Below are 16,863 nucleotides of genomic sequence, written 5' to 3'. Positions count from 1 at the left end.
GCTTTTGCAGTTGCTTTAGGGCCAGTTGGATTGCAGAGCACGTAACAGTGCCCTGCATAAAGGTCCACAGAAGGGTGGGCTTCATTAGGGGAAAGAAGAAAGATGAGACATGTACATCAATGTTTGAATCAGAACATGGAGCATTTTACTTTGAGGGTCTTGAGCTAAGCGTTTCGGTTCACATAATCAAGATATAGCATAGTGACTAGCTATTTGGTTTTTTTACCATAAATCTAGAATACACATTCCAGCACATGTTTTCCTATGTGATTTTGAGTAATCTATTGAACTTCTCTAAGCTGTGGTTTCTTTAGCTCTGAATGGGGACTAACAACTACTATGTGGGATTTTTGTGTGGAGTAAATGAAATAACATACATAAAACACCTGTTAAAATGCCTGGCACAAGGAGGTACTTCACAAATGGTAGCTATTATAATATTATTGGTAGTGGAATATTATGCATAGTTTTTAGTTTAAATGGTATAATTTGTATGTTAAAATTGTTAATACTAAAAATAAAAAAATGAATGGAGTGAGAAAATGAAGGAGCACATAGGCCTGATGCCTTTTGTTAGGATGAGTTGGAATTGTATGTTATTGTAGACACCTTAAGAGCAAGTCCTAGGTTTTACGCTCTGTCTCCTGCCGGCCAATTCCGCAGCTTCACACTATGGCCTGCACATTAGATTCACAAAAAGTGCTTTTAAATGCACTTCAATTTCAGGTTACTTCATTTGTTTATTGTTTTTGTCTTGGATGTGAATTCTGAATGGTAATTCTTCTTGAAGTATGTCTATGATTTCACTTTTGAGTCAAAGATGGAAAATATCAAGTGAGGATACAGCATAGTGCCTACAGCTAACAATATTGTATTATAGGCTTAAATTTTAGAAGGGTGGACTATATATTAAGTGGTCTTAAGGGAGCGGAAGGAAACTCTGGGAGGTGATGGACTTGTTAATGGCCTTGATAGTAGTGATGGCTTCATGGGTGTTTACTTATTCCTAGACTCATCAAGATGTGTACATTAAGTATGTGCAGCTTTCTGTATGTCAATCATACCTCAATAAAATGGTTTTAAAAAAAGAAAATACCAAGTAAGGGAATGAACAGGAGTTATCCTAAAATGACAGTAAAGAAAATCCTACTGAATTTCACATTTTTTCTCTTTCTATACATGTTTCTACCATTTTGAGGTGAAAATTAAAAAATCTAGTATACTGCTTAGTGTGGCTTTAAAATCAATGTATTTGTTTTTGAACTTTTTTAGTGTGATTTCATAGGGAATACTAGAAATAAAACATCTGTCAAGGAATGAATTTTTTGCAGATGAGTAGTGTCAGAGAGGCATGAAATTGATTGCTGTGATCTAAGGAGAATGCGCTGTGGAGCAGGCATGGTGGGTGCTGATGTTGTCTGTTGGTCTCTCTGTGTATGCCAAGGTGACTTTCAACAGAAAGATGAGCTTGGTCTAGGGGATAAGGCCCCTTCAACTCTTGGTATTTCTTTTGAGGTTGTAAGGAGTTGAGGTAAAAAATATAGGGCCATCTTTATTCAGAAGTAAGACTGTTGGAAATTGTTTTCTAAGGCCTATGTTTAACTAGCTAATAATAACAATTGTTGTGATTGTGTTCAATGATATAAAATTTGATTCTTAAGAGGCGATTTATCCTTTTGCTGGAGTGGGTTTCAAGTAGTTTTTCAGAATAAAATTAGTTTTGCAGCATATATTCCTTTGGAGAGGGGTTGTTCTGTTTTCTCATATAACTTCATTAGACTCCTAGCTTTCAAAAACGGATATCACTCTTCCCTCAGATTGGCTGACCTTTACAGCAATTGGCGGTGTCTTTCTCTAACATCATAGAATAGGTGCTGGCCATGAAGTTTAATCTTGAACTTACTTCTGTGTAATGTTTACTCAAAGCCATGCTCTGAAATATAGGCAATCCATTTATTTCTTGATTGTCTAAGACCTGTCTTTTCATTATGTTTGATTATTATTAGTGAGCTACAAAACTGGACCATGTTGTTCTGTCTCTCTATATCAAATTTCTCTTATTTGATTGTTTTGGTGTTCACAGTTTTCATCCTACATATATAGAAAGACTTCATATAGTACTTACAGTGAGTGGGGGAGGGGGCTATGTTAAACCTCAAGGTGTCTTTTTAGAAAAATGTAGCCTATAGTGAAAAGATGGTACAAGGAAATTATTTCCATAGGAACTAATGTACAGTGCCCCAGATTGCCCTATCTTGCACTTTTTACTTATTAACTCTGCCCTAAAATTCTTTAAGTAACCCTTTAATGTTAAAACATTAAGATGAAATAGACATTTTAAAAATGGAGAGGATTCTGGGAGTTGGAGACTTGAAGCATCTCTGCACCTTCTGCTATCAATTTCAGTCTCGCCACTAGTTGCTGTTTCTCAGAAGCACATCTGACGACAGATGTGAGCCATTGGGCTAGTTCTGGCAAAGTGCAGGGATCAACAGTGTTGGCCCCAGTCTCTGTGACTGTTCCTGAGATAACCTTTTGGTTTTCATGTCCCTGTCAACTGGTTTGGGTGGGTGAGGGATGGGGAGAGACTTTCTCCAGGTTTTCTTAAGAGGGGGCTGCAAACTCATCAGCTGCTGGCATACCACTGGGCCTCAGCAGCAGAGGCTGCCTCATCTCCCACCACTTAGTGGATCCTTCCACTTAAGGCAGCCCAACAGTGGGACCTGAGCTCTGGTGCGTAGGCAGATGAAAAAGAAGGGGTCATCTATGGGGCACAGTAGGCGGAGAGAAAGAGACAAATGAGAACTTAGAAGAGGTGTGTCTTGGAAGAACTCTTGGAATAGTTCAGTGGTGCTTTGATGTTTGTAGCATTGACAACGATTACTACTTGATTTTAATACACCCTCAATTTTAAGTTGCATTTTGATTTCATAGATAGTGAAGAGTAGAAGAAAGTAACTTCATGCATGTTATATTTGATGAATTAGACTAAATTCCAGAAGGAGATAAAGGGAAGAGTTTGAGAGGAGGTGATAATTATGTGATATAAAACATTTCACTGAGCTGAAGAAAACTGGAGTCTGCAAATTGAAAGGACTCTTTATTCTAGGAGGCACTGATGAGAAAACATGCACACCTAGTCATAGACAGCTAAAATTTCAGAACTCTAAGGATAAAGAGAAAGCCTTATGAACTTCCAGATAGAAAGAACACTAATTTATAAAGGAAATGGGATCAGCCTGGGTTTAGGCTTTTCTTCTGCCAGACTGGAAGCTAGAAGATGGAATGACACCTAAAAGGACTGCAAGCCCACAATTCTCTGTTGAGCTCTTACTCAGCTGTTACGGTGAAAAAGAGGACCATTGATATGCAAGGATTTAGAAAATTTATTAATTTTAATTCTAGCAGGCAGAGTCCATTAAGGAGATCAAACACACCAGTTATTTTTATAGAGAGAATTTAATGTAAGAATTGTTAATGAGGCACTTAAGAGCTGAAAAGGCAAAAACAAACAAAAAAAAGTAACTCTAAAGCAGTACTGTTTAACAGAAATATTATGTGAGCAATCATTGTAGTTAATTTTCTACTAGTTCTGTCACAAGTAAAAAAGGTAGAAATAATTCTGGTTTTTTCTCAGTATATCTAAAATAATAACATAAGGAGTATAAAATTTATTTTCATACCAAGTGTTCAAAATCCAGTGTATATTTTATGATTAAGCAAGTCTTGGATTGGACTAGCCACATTTCTGGGCTCAGTAGCCGCATGTGGCTAATGGGGACTGTATTGGACATTGCAGCTCCACAGTATCTCAGATGTAGCACTGGGGGAGCAATGGGAAGAGGTAGTTGTTAAAACATTAAAGCTTGGAGGAGAGGCTCTGTGGGATGTAGCTCAGACGTCTGAGGAAGGGGCATTTCCTAGCTGGTAGACTGCTGTCATGGAGCTCTGAGGAGAGACCTGTGGGTCTGGGACTGAGATTTTCAAGAGTGTGCCAGTAGGTAGGGTCAGTGTCTCCAGAATGGGGTGCACTGAGGCTGATTTTGCAAGCAGACTTAGCTTGAACAAAGTGCAGACTCAACTGCTGCTGCTGCAGGAGCAAGTGCTGCTGCTGCTGGGAAGCAGTGAGGCCCGAGTGACGCGATAGGAAGCAAATGGGAAACAGCTCCTTGTTCTTCCACCAGCCTTGCAGTTTCCCTCTGGCTTCCCTTGATGGGTCCTAGTAGGGACCCAGCTATGAAGCAGAAATGTGTTTAGAGACCTTGCCTTCCCCGCCAGCTCCACATCATGAAGCAGAGAGCAGAAGAGGGGTGAGAAGCTGAGAGTCGTAGCCAAATGTTGAACACAGTAGTCCATCTTAGGATAATACTTAAAAAATAATTCTAACCAAATTAATTACAACAGAGACTTCCATGTAGGGGAAGATGGAGAGGAGGGGAAGCACCCCTGAGGATCAGTCTTTGCCTTGTGTACATAAATGATAGACCAGGATTGTCTCATAAAGTGCTAATAAAGATTCTCGAAATTGAAGAAAAATCCTTGAGGAAAAAAAAAACTAAGAGTTTTATGAGTTTCAAAGTACTGAACTCTTAGCTCAGAATTGGGTTGGGGGAAAGTCAAAGCATTCAAACGATTTCATCTTACTGGGTTTGCTGGAGTAGTGTTTGAGGAAATAGTTGGAACTGTGTTTTTAAACAACAGTAGAGAAAAGAGTATGAGATTTTTTGGTGGGAGTTGGGGGAGGGTATGGTAACTTGATACAACCAGGAAAATGAGGAAAAGGGAAAAAGTAAAATTAATATTAAACATGATATAAAATGGAAGAAATAAGTATATCAGTTGTACTGTTAATAATTGTGACTGGGCACAATTACCCATTTAAAGATCAAGGCTGCCACATGCACAATAAGAGCTATGTATTTATATGAAATGCAGTTAAAACAAAGTAATTTGTTTTAACCTTAATAAAGGTTAAAAATTAATGGATTGGCAAAGTTGTGCCAAACAGAAAGAAATATGAAAAAATGTACAATCAAAGCTTATAAACACTAAACAGAATAAAGAAGCAAATTATGTAATGATAACAAGCACAGTTTATAAAGACAGCAGCCATTAACCTTTATGCATCAATCAAATTAGCAGCTCAATGTAAGAATCAAAAATGATTAGAAATTCAAAGTCTAGTTGATTTACAAAAATAATAAGGGACTTTGTATAATTATTTTTTCCTTAAAAATGTTTACTCTGGCTTCATGGAGGAGCATGCTAAGCTTTAACATTTAGCACATCTAGTATAAAAAGAGACAGAATGAGTTAGGTTGTGTGTGTGTGTGTGTGTGTGTGTGTGTGTATGTGTGTCTGTGTAGGGGAGCAGAAAGGCCACTCACATCCACCTCTCAGCTCCACATCTGAGAAGCTAAATGCAGGTATAGGGTGAGAGGTTGCATTTTGGTTCAAGTTGGAAGGTCTTTTGAAATCAAAAAGAAGAGGAGAATTATTGATTGTTTTCCTCCATAGGGCTTACAATGGTAATGTCATCTCTTTGTCTGGCCTAAGGTTTCCCTAGCCTTATCAATGAACATAATTTCAAAATTCGAGTCCTGGCAAAAACGTGTCCCTTGTGAAAAAGAAACGTAAGTGCAAAACAATGTAAATGATGTATGTTTTGTCTACAGAAGTGTACTGAGATTCTCATGTTATTTCATAGCTTACGGTCCTCTTTATGAGACCCCACCCATGTCTCTCAGGTCACGGAACCAGGATTATTGCCCTAGTTTCTGTCTTCAGGAGGAAGCCATTTCACATTGTCATCTGTCCAGGGCTCAAGCTGCCCATCTTGGATGGGGCCGCTGTTTGCGGGAGGAGTTGATAGTTGGCTTATGAAAGGGATTTGCCCAGAGATGTCTGCATTTGACCTTAGGTTCCTTTTTCTTCCAGCTGACTTCATGATTGTCTAGCTCCAGCATCTTAGTAAATACATAGCAGCAGTGCCCATTCCAGTGAAGGATGCTACAGGGGAGGATGCATGGGGAGGAGTATAGATATTTTCTAAACAATAGTAATAGGTCAAGCATGAGCATTTCCTCCCATAACTTCTGTAAAACAGGTTATTTATTTATTTATTTTTTGAGATGGAGTTTCGCTCTTGTCTCCCAGGTTGGAGTGCAATGGCGTGATCTCGGCTCACTGCAACCTCTGCCTCCTGGGTTCAAGAGATTCTTCTGCCTCAGCCTCTCCAGTAGCTGGGATTACAGGCACCCACCACCACGCCCGGCTAATTTTTGTATTTTTAGTAGAGTTGGGGTTTCACCACATTGGCCATTAAGCCCTGCTGATAAGACACAGTTTAATGGTGGTGTCTTTACCTCCCCATTCCCACCATTATTCACCCGTATATTGAATATTATGACATTTGATGTGTACTTTAAGATAAAAAGCTGATGATCTCGGTTTAAGATGCCTCTAAATATTCAGTTCAAGTTAGACAAAGAAGTGGCCATAGGTCATTTCAGTAGAGGAAGACAAGGATACTTTGTGGTGTTGTGTAATTTCCTCCTAGGTAGTTTTGGTTGTGAATTTCTGAGAGAGAGTGGGTGCAGGAGCCATGGATATAGGAACATTAACTTATGAACTAAAATCAGAATACTTTTCAAATATAAATGTATTTTTCAGTGCAGTAGGAGAAAATATTTAAGAAGAAGGTCCAAGAGCATCCAGGACAGGTGGTACTTGTTCCCAAATGAGAACTGAAATAGGGACTTTAGGTATAAAGTAATATACAATGTGTAAATGGGAGGCAATCATCTGGAAGGGGGAGATGAAAGCTAGTTAGGATTATGGCTGTAGGTAATCCATAATTATAGTCCTAGGCTTTCAGTTATGGGCTGAGTTTTTTTTTTTTCTCTTGCATCATTTTGAAGCTATGCAGGCATATTTCCAGATTGCAACAAAATTTTATTGTGAATTAAAATAAAATCACCTTTTCTATGTTCCTTTGGAAAGGAAGGAAACCTTGACTTAAATTCTGAGTGCCATTTTCAATGCTATTTACACAGAAATGTAGATGACCAAAATAAATGTCCTCTTGGTTTTATTCAGAACCAGGACTTAATGCTGGTTAAATACAGTCCTCACTTGATATGCATGGAGGATTGGTTCCAGGATCCCTAAGGATTCCAAAACCCTCAGATGCTCAAGTTCCTTATATAAAATAGTATAGTACTTGCATATAACTGGTGTACTTCCTCCCGTATACTTTACATCATCTCTAGATGTACTTACAATACAATGTAAGCACTATGTAAATAGTTGTTATACTGTATATTAAAAATTTGTATTTTTAAAAATTGTGTTACTATTTTTTTATTTTCTTTATTTTTTTAAGAGACAGGGTTTCATTCTGTTGCCCAGGCTGGAGTACAGTGCTGTGATCATAGCTCAGTGCAGCCTCCAAATCCTGCAGTCAAGTGATTCTCCTGCTGTAGCCTCCCTAGTAGCTTGGACTTACAAGCAGGTGCCACCACACCTGACTGATAAAAAAATTTTTTTTTGTTAGAGATGGGGGCTCACTATGTTGCCCAGGCTGGTTCTGAACTCCTGGCTTCAAGTGATCCTCCCACCTCATCCTCCTGAGCAGCTGGGATTGCAGGCATGAGCCACTGAGCCTGGCTTTTATTATTTATTTTTCCCTAAAAATTTTTGATTCCCATTTGGTTAAACCTGTGGATGAGGAACCCATTTTATTTAATTTATTGCTAAATTACCATTATGTAAAATATATATTGCTAAATAATCATTATATAAAGAGTACCTATGTTCCATAATATTTATAAAAATATGCTCACACTCTGTATTCATTCTTTCAAAATATATTTTGAATGCTTACCAAGTGCCAGGTATTATTTAATGTGGGGATTACAATGGTATATAAGACAAAGTTCTACCCCCATGCCACTTATTTTAATGGTATCTGTATATTTGTGTGGGTGTGTGTGTGTGTGGGTGTGTGTGTGTGTGTATTTTCTGTAAGAATGCAGGCTCTGAAGTTGGGCTGAGTTTAATTCTGGCTATACCTCTCACTGGTTTTATTTTGGGTAAATTTGACTATGGGTAAGTTTCTTATGACCCTTGAATGACCTGAGCGTTAGGAACACTGATCCCTTGTGCAGTTGAAAATCTGTATATAACTTTTGGCTCCCTAAAAACTGAACTAGTAATAGTCATCTATTGACCGGAAGCCTTACCAATAGCAGAGTAGATTAACACATATTTTGTATGTTATATGTATTACATACTGTATTCTTACAATAAAGTAAGCTAGAGTATAGAAAATGTTAGTAAGAAAATCATAAGCAAGAAAAAATATATTTATTATTTATTAAGTGTAAGTAGATAATCATAAAGGTCTTCATCCTCCTTGTCTTCAGGCTGGAGGGTTGGTTAGTCTTGCTGTCTCTGGTGGTAGAGGCAGAAAAGATGAAAGGACAGGCAGACATATTATGGAAATGCCTTATAATTTCTGTCTGACTTTTTTTGCTTTTTTTAGTTTCTCTAAAAATGTTTCTACATGGTACCAGTTCTCCTCCCACTGTTTGCTTTAGTTTCAGTGACTATATCTTAGATGGGTCCCTGTCATAAAATAAGTCATTTGTAGTCTTGGATAATCTGAACCCTTGTGCCAGATTGTCTAATGTCAGTTGTGTTCTGGCACTGCTTCTTCTACATCTTCTCATCGTCTGGCGCTGTTTCGAAGGCACTCATCACCATAATGTCGTCCATCTTCTGTTAATTCGTCTGGTGTGGTGTCTGTTAGTTCTGGAATTTCTCCAAGGTCCATCTTGAAGCCCTTCATCTCCCACCTTTTTTGGTTATATTCACAATCTCTTTCATGATTTCCCTGGTTGACTCTGTTGTAAATCATGTGCAATATCTGGACACAGTTTCCTCCAGGAGGAGTTTGTTGTTTTGGGCTTGATGACTTTCATGGCTTTTTCTTTAACAACAGTGGCATCTTCATGAGGTAATCCTTTCAGACTTCATGATGTTCTCTCTGTCCGGGTTCTCTTCCATAGTGTTGACAGTCCTTTTCATAGATTATCATGTCTGATGAAGAAAGGTCCTTATGATCCCCTAATCTATAGGCTGAAATAAAAACATTCTGTTTGGGGGTAAGTCACCACTTTGATGTGTTCAATATTGAAGTCATGGGGTTCTGGGTGGCTAGAGGCATTGTCCAATATCAGAAGAACTTTAAAGGGTAGTCCTTTACTGGCAAGGTATTTTCTGATTTCAGGGACAAATCATTGATGGAACCTATCTAGAAAATAGGTTCTTATTGTGTAGACCTTCTTGTACAACCAAAAGACTGGCAGCTCGTGTTTATCTTTTCCCTATGAGGCTCAGGGGTTAGCAGCTCTATAGATAAGGACAATTGTGCCATAAACTCAACTGCATTTGCACAAAACTAGTAGAGATAGCCTATCCCTTCCTATCTTAAATCTTTGTACTTGCTTCTCTTCTTTACTAATGTATGTCTTTCATGCCATTTATTTTCTAGAGTAGGGCACTTTTGTCTGCATTAAAAATCTGTTCAGGCAGTTATCCTTTCTTCTCAATGATTTTCTTAATGGCATCTGGGAACTGGTTTGCTGTTTCTTGGTCAGCAGAAGCTGCTTCTCCTATTATCTTGACATTTTTAAGTAAAACCTCTTTCTCAAATTATCAAACCATCCTTTGCTGGTATTAAATTCGCCTTTAATCTATCACATAATGGAGACTTGACTTTTCCTCAAATCGCATTAGAGTCTATAGGTAAGCCTTTCCTTTCTTAGCAATCCAGCACTCATATAGAAGTTGTATTTTCTTTTTTTTTTTTTTTCTTTTTTCTTTTTCTTTTTCTTTTTTTTATTGATCATTCTTGGGTGTTTCTCGCAGAGGGGGATTTGGCAGGGTCACAGGACAATAGTGGAGGGAAGGTCAGCAGATAAGTGAACAAAGGTCTCTGGTTTTCCTAGGCAGAGGACCCTGCGGCCTTCCGCAGTGTTTATGTCCCTGGGTACTTGAGATTAGGGAGTGGTGATGACTCTTAACGAGCATGCTGCCTTCAAGCATCTGTTTAACAAAGCACATCTTGCACCACCCTTAATCCATTCAACCCTGAGTGGACACAGCACCTGTTTCAGAGAGCACAGGGTTGGGGGTAAGGTCACAGATCAACAGGATCCCAAGGCAGAAGAATTTTTCTTAGTACAGAACAAAATGAAAAGTCTCCCATGTCTACCTCTTTCTACACAGACATGGCAACCATCCGATTTCTCAATCTTTTCCCCACCTTCTCCCCCTTTCTATTCCACAAAACCGCCATGGTCATCATGGCCCGTTCTCAATGAGCTGTTGAGTACACCTCCCAGACGGGGTGGTGGCCGGGCAGAGGGGCTCCTCACTTCCCAGTAGGGGCGGCCGGGCAGAGGCGCCCCTCACCTCCCGGACGGGGCGGCTGGCCGGGCGGGGGGCTGACCCCCCCGCCTCCCTCCCGGACGGGGTGGCTGGCCGGGTGGGGGGCTGACCTCCCCTCCTCCCTCCCGGATGGGGCGGCTGGCCGGGCGGGGGGCTGACCCCCCCCCCACCTCCCTCCCGGATGGGGCGGCTGGCCGGGCAGAGGGGCTCCTCTCTTCCCAGTAGGGGCGGCCGGGCAGAGGCGCCCCTCACCTCCCGGATGGGGCGGCTGGCCGGGAGGGGGGCTGACCCCCCCACCTCCCTCCTGGACGGGGCGGCTGGCCGGGCCGGGGGCTGACCCCCCCACCTCCCTCCTGGACGGGGCGGCTGGCCGGGCAGAGGGGCTCCTCTCTTCCCAGTAGGGGCGGCCGGGCAGAGGCGCCCCTCACCTCCCGGATAGGGCGGCTGGCCGGGCGGGGGGCTGACCCCCCCACCTCCTTCCCGGACGGGGCGGCTGGCCGGGCAGAGGGACTCCTCACTTCCCAGTAGGGGCGGCCGGGCAGAGGCGCCCCTCACCTCCCGGACGGGGCGGCTGGCCGGGCGGGGGGCTGACCCCCCCACCTCCCTCCCGGATGGGGCGGCTGGCCGGGCGGGGGGCTAACCCCCCCACCTCCCTTCCGGACGGGGCGGCTGGCCGGGCAGAGGGACTCCTCACTTCCCAGTAGGGGCGGCCGGGCAGAGGCGCCCCTCACCTCCCGGATGGGGCGGCTGGCCGGACGGGGGGCTAACCCCCCCACCTCCCTTCCGGACGGGGCGGCTGGCCGGGCGGGGGGCTGACCCCCACCTCCCTCCCAGACGGGGCGGCTGGCCGGGCAGAGGGACTCCTCACTTCCCAGTAGGGGCGGCCGGGCAGAGGCGCCCCTCACCTCCCGGACGGGGCGGCTGGCCGGGCGGGGGGCTGACCCCCCCACCTCCCTCCCGGATGGGGCGGCTGGCCGGGTGGGGGGCTGACCCCCACCTCCCTCCCAGACCGGGTGGCTGCCGGGCGGAGACGCTCCTCACTTCCCAGACGGAGTGGCTGCCGGGCGGAGGGGCTCCTCACTTCTCAGACGGGCCGGTTGCCAGGCAGAGGGTCTCCTCACTTCTCAGACGGAGCGGCCGGGCAGAGACGCTCCTCACATCCCAGACGGGGCGGCAGGGCAGAGGCACTCCCCACATCTCAGACGATGGGCGGCCTGGCAGAGACGCTCCTCACTTCCTAGATGGGATGGCGGCCGGGCAGAGACGCTCCTCACTTTCCAGACTGGGCAGCCAGGCAGAGGGGCTCCTCACATCCCAGACGATGGGCGGCCAGGCAGAGACGCTCCTCACTTCCCAGATGGGGTGGCGGCCGGGCAGAGGCTGCAATCTCGGCACTTTGCGGGGCCAAGGCAGGCAGCTGGGAGGTGGAGGTTGTAGCGAGCCGAGATCACGCCACTGCACTCCAGCCTGGGCACCATTGAGCACTGAGTGAACGCGACTCCGTCTGCCATCCCGGCACCTCGGGAGGCCGAGGCTGGCGGATCACTCGCGGTTAGGAGCTGGAGACCAGCCCGGCCAACACAGCGAAACCCCGTCTCCACCAAAAAAATACGAAAACCAGTCAGGCGTGGCGCCGTGCGCCTGCAATCGCAGGCACTCGGCAGGCTGAGGCAGGAGAATCAGGCAGGGAGGTTGCAGTGAGCCGAGATGGCAGCAGTACAGTCCAGCTTTGGCTCGGCATCAGGGGGAGACCGTGGAAAGAGAGGGAGAGGGAGACCGTGGGGAGAGGGAGACCATGGGGAGAGGGAGACCGTGGGGAGAGGGAGACCGTGGGGAGAGGGAGACCGTGGGGAGAGGGAGAGGAGGGAGAGGGAGAGGAGGAGCCTTTCCGAGAAGTTGTATTTTCAATACAAGATTAAAAGGTATTTCTCAAAACATGCAGGGGTTTTGGACCTGCTGGCATAGCTGCATTGAAGGCTTCGTGAATTTTCTTTTCTTTTTCTACAACAGTCCTTATGCTGGATTCACTTATCTCAAAGTGGCAGGAAACTGCAGCTGCAGACCTCAATCTATGGTACTTACCAAGCAATTCAACTTTTTTTTCCTCTAATGTCATGACTTTTCTCTGCTTCTCGGGAGCACTTCTAGCATCACTAGTGACACTTTGTATGGGTCCCATGATGTGATGCAAAGTTATGGTATTGTAATAAACAATGAAAAATACACGAGAACCTCAAAAGATCACTTTTTACTGCAGTATGCAATTTACTGGAGAGACTAACTGCTCACTCGATGATTAGCATCACAGTGTGTTAAGCAGATACTCGTAACTCCTGAGCTCGCTACAATAGCAACAGGAGGTGCCTACTGAATTATAGCAATACAGTATGTACTATAGTTAATTTTATGCAGTTATGACTTAATACTGCATCTTTACCTCTGTTTACGTTTCCGTCCACTGCAGATGGTGCCATGTACAGTCTGTTTGTGTGCATACATTTTGATACATTTTAACTTTTTGTTTGAGATAGAGTCTCGGTCTGTCACCCAGGCTGGAGTGCAATGGCGTGATCTCAGCTCACTGCAACCTCTGCCTCCCGGGTTTAAGCAATTCTCCTTGCCTCAGCCTCCCGAGTAGCTGGGATTACAGGTGCTACCACCATGCCTGGCTAATTTTTTGTATTTTTAATGGAGATGGGGTTTCGCCATGTTGGCTAGGCTGGTCTCGAACTCCTGACCTCAGGTAATCCACCCGTCTTGCCTCCCAAAGTGCTGGGATTACAGGCATGAGCTGCCGCGCCTGGCCAATTTTAACTTTTTAATAATAGATTCGTATATATTTTATGATAGTGAATGATAAAACTGACCAGAATCAACATATTTTATGCATTCATGACATACTTTAAAAATTTATTTATATTTATAGATATGTGATTCATCTGTGAGTTTTATCAAATTGCTACAAGTCTTCAAAAAAATGTTCAATATATTTATTGAAAAAAAAATGCACATATGTGGTTCTACACAGTCCAAACGTGTGTTATTGAAGGTTCAGCTGTACTTAAAAGTTCTGTAGGCCTCAATTTTACATAATTTCTCTGTGCCTCAGCTTTTCATCCGAAATATAATTGATTTAATAGGGTTGTTGTGAGGATTAAATGAGTTACACCCATCAAATGCTTACAGTTGTACCTGGTACGAGTAAGCATAATAAATGCTAACTCTTTTTCTGTCACACATGCAGATATTATATATGAATTTAGGCTGGGTGTGGTGGCTTTCGCCTGTAATCCTAGCACTCTGGGAGGCTGAGGTGGGTGGATCACCTGAGGTCAGGAGTTCAAGACCAGCCTGGCCAACATGGTGAAACCTTGTCTTTACTAAAAATACAAAAATTAGCCAGGCATGGTGGCACATGCCTGTAATCCCAGCTACTTGGGAGACTGAGGCAGGAGAATCGCTTGAATCCCGGAGGTGGAGGTTCCAGTGAGCCAAGATCACACCACTGCACTCTAGCCTGGGAGACAGAGTGAGACTCCGTCTCAAAAAAAAGAAAAATTAAGATGCCATATTCATGTTTATGTATTTATTTTGGAATCTCAATCCACATATATTTTCTTCCAGGATTTGAAACGATTTGAGCTGAGAAGTGTTAAGCTTCTCTGTTCCCTTATTTTTGTCAAGTCTTATTAATCAAAAACTGTATACGTGTTTTGTCCTTATTTTTAATAGTCTAATAATTACTTCATTGAATTACCCAGCTTAGCTCTTCTGTTTAAAAATGGATGGTAAACAGTATCTTGAATGCTGGTTCGGCAGGTTCTGACAAAATATGATGCGTTAAAATAAAATTCATTGTTAGCATTAAAATGACCTTTGAGGTTGTCGTCACTCATTTTTCTCTTTCAGTGTTTGAAATAGCCTTTCTGCATCAAGTGCATTGCAGTATCTTGTATATATTGCCTATGTATAACGGTCACGGTTCAACTTTAGATAAGTCATTTAGTCAAATCACTTTATCTCTAGCAATCTCCGTTTCCCATTTATTCTTACCCATTATCTGAAGTTCTTATCAACTTTCTCTCCATAGTGTAATGGCCTTATGTATTACATTTATAAAGTAATTTTCTAAGCTAGAATTGTATAGAATTACTTATGTGTCAACCTACATGAAGATAAATCTGAGTATTTGTGAATGGCCAAATGAGCAGTATCCAAATTCAGAAAAACATTTAGGGCCATTAAAAGCCAAACCACTTTGGGAAAGGGGTGGTAATAATTTAGACTCTGGCAAACTCTGACTTAGTGTAGTATACACAAATTTTAAAAGAGCCTATTTTAAAATAACCGTGAATAATGTAAGATTTAAAAACTGTCCTTACATGACCACAAAGGTGAGTAGTATAATGGAAACTAATTCCTATAGGAAAGTTTACTCTTTAAGATGTTTAAGAAGTATGACTTTGGAAGTCAGATCACCATCTTTCACACCTCTGTTGTACTTCTCAGTTTTTCTCATGTTAAAAATGGAGATAGTAGCTGGTGTGGTGACTTGTGCTTGTAATCTCAGCACTTTGGGAGGCTGAGGTGGACAGATCACTTGAGCCCAGTTCAAGACCACTTGAGCCCAGTTCAAGACCATGTGGACAACATGCTGAAACCTCGTCTCCACAAAAAAAAAAACAACCCAAAAATCAGCCAGGCTTGGTGGCATGCAACTGTGGTCCCAACTGCTTGGGAGGCTAAGGCAAGAGGATTGCTTGAGCCTGGGAGGCAGAGGTTGCAGTGAGCCGAGATCATGCCACTGCACTCCAGCCTGGGCAAGAGAGCAAGACCATGTTTCAAAAAAACAAAAAACAAAAAAACTAGAGCTAGTAATGCCTCCCTTATGGAGGTGAATGAAGTTCAATATGTTAATGCCTTGCTAAAGTTATCTTTAAAATTCTCTTTCTACTTTCTTAAAAACTTGAGGTTCTTTAGAGTAAAGTCAAACTGGCTAGTTTTTACCCTGGGACTAAAATATAGAGAACTAGATTTTATACCTGCTGTCCATGAAAGTTGAATGTTTTATAAGTAGTTAATTTGTTTTCCCATTTAAAAGGACATGTAATAATATTTATTATAGGAGATTTGGCTGGCTTTTAGGAATTCATTTTGCTGGTGTACCTTAAGTCCCTCGCCTGATTGACAATATACTGAGGAAAGAGCTAAGTTGCTAGGGCTTGAGGTCTAAGGGCAGCACTGACTGGTATTTGTTTCATTAAGCTTAGGCAAGCTATCCAATTACTTAATGCAAACAAGAAAAGTTTACACTAAACTCCTACTTCTTTGCTTGAAACTCTAGAGAATTTAAATGAGGAGAGATATGTATTTAAAAGAAAGAAATTTAAATGAAACTTAAATCAGGGACTTAATGTAGAATATATTAGAGCAGGAGATCTAAAATATTAAGTGGGAAATGCCAATAAATAAAAAAGGAATGTATTCTCTAAGATACTTGGCATGTTTAGTTTTGTTTTGAGATAATTCTTAAATCTTTGGAAACCCAAGTTAATAATGAGAGACTTATTTTATCTCCTGCCTTTACATATAAAGTCCTGCCTTCCCTTGGTCAGTGAGAGCCTGGGTCTTCTCTCCTTAGTGAAGTGTTCCCAAAACAACATGGCTTCTGATTTTATAGCTCCACTATCTGGGCAGTAGTTTTCAGAGAGGCCCAGATGGCAGGGCTGTCTTATTTGGTTCAAAAAGAGAAAAATTGGTTGACAGCTCATCTACCTTTTGCAGATGGCTGTTGAATAGTATAGCTCCATGCGGTATAAAACCAAGGGGCCAGAGAGGAAGCTTTGAAAGTAATTGGGGGTTTCTGAAAACATAAGCAGTTTTTCTTTGCAAAGTGGTTTTGGCTCAGTAAAGAATTTACAGGAACCATTGAAAGAGGAAACTTAGAAGAAAATAATTGCCATGCAATATTTTGGAGGGGAGGGTTGGGGAAATGGAGAATGGTACAATTTTGAAGTTTCAAATCTATTGCTTTTAAATGGGAAATGGTACAACTTAGAAGCTTCTCATCTTTGGGCACTGGTCAAAACTGAACCTCAGTCAGTATACCATTGAAACTCTGTCCTCCAAGAGAATCTGAAAGCAAGTAAAATTCTTTGCAGAGGTGATTTCATGCCTCAGAGACCCTTCTAAGTGTCACAGGAATCTAACTGAAGGAAATCCTTTCTTGGTGCTTCTGGACCCAACTGATGTTTCCTCTGCCTAAGACACTTTCTCCTTCCCCATGTTGCTCAGTTAATGTCCTGTAGAGCTCAAGTTAAATATCAGTCCCACCCATGCAGTGTCATAGATACCTACCTAACTTTTTAAAAATAATGCATCTGTTATTTGTAATCATGGCTCATGAAA

At 42.5% G+C, this 16,863-nt stretch overlaps 1 protein-coding gene across 5 annotated transcripts in view, besides 2 other annotated features; it reads left to right on the top strand.

The window, feature by feature from the left end:
• CHCHD3 (coiled-coil-helix-coiled-coil-helix domain containing 3) overlaps positions 1–16,863 on the top strand; it is a 297,221-nt gene that overhangs the window by 85,789 nt on the left and 194,569 nt on the right. The window lies entirely within an intron of this gene.
• Positions 16,571–16,650: an enhancer, noted in NCBI's record as "active region_26680". NCBI's record gives its function as "activates an Ori minimal core promoter by ATAC-STARR-seq in GM12878 lymphoblastoid cells {active_cell/tissue: GM12878}" and the evidence as "EXISTENCE:reporter gene assay evidence [ECO:0000049][PMID:35858748]".
• Positions 16,701–16,750: an enhancer, noted in NCBI's record as "active region_26679". NCBI's record gives its function as "activates an Ori minimal core promoter by ATAC-STARR-seq in GM12878 lymphoblastoid cells {active_cell/tissue: GM12878}" and the evidence as "EXISTENCE:reporter gene assay evidence [ECO:0000049][PMID:35858748]".

Source organism: Homo sapiens, chromosome 7, assembly GCF_000001405.40.
Source record: "Homo sapiens chromosome 7, GRCh38.p14 Primary Assembly".
NCBI classification, from domain to species: Eukaryota; Metazoa; Chordata; class Mammalia; order Primates; family Hominidae; genus Homo; species Homo sapiens.
Note: the sequence above shows the minus strand (reverse complement) of the source record. Positions and strands in the feature narration are given on the sequence as shown.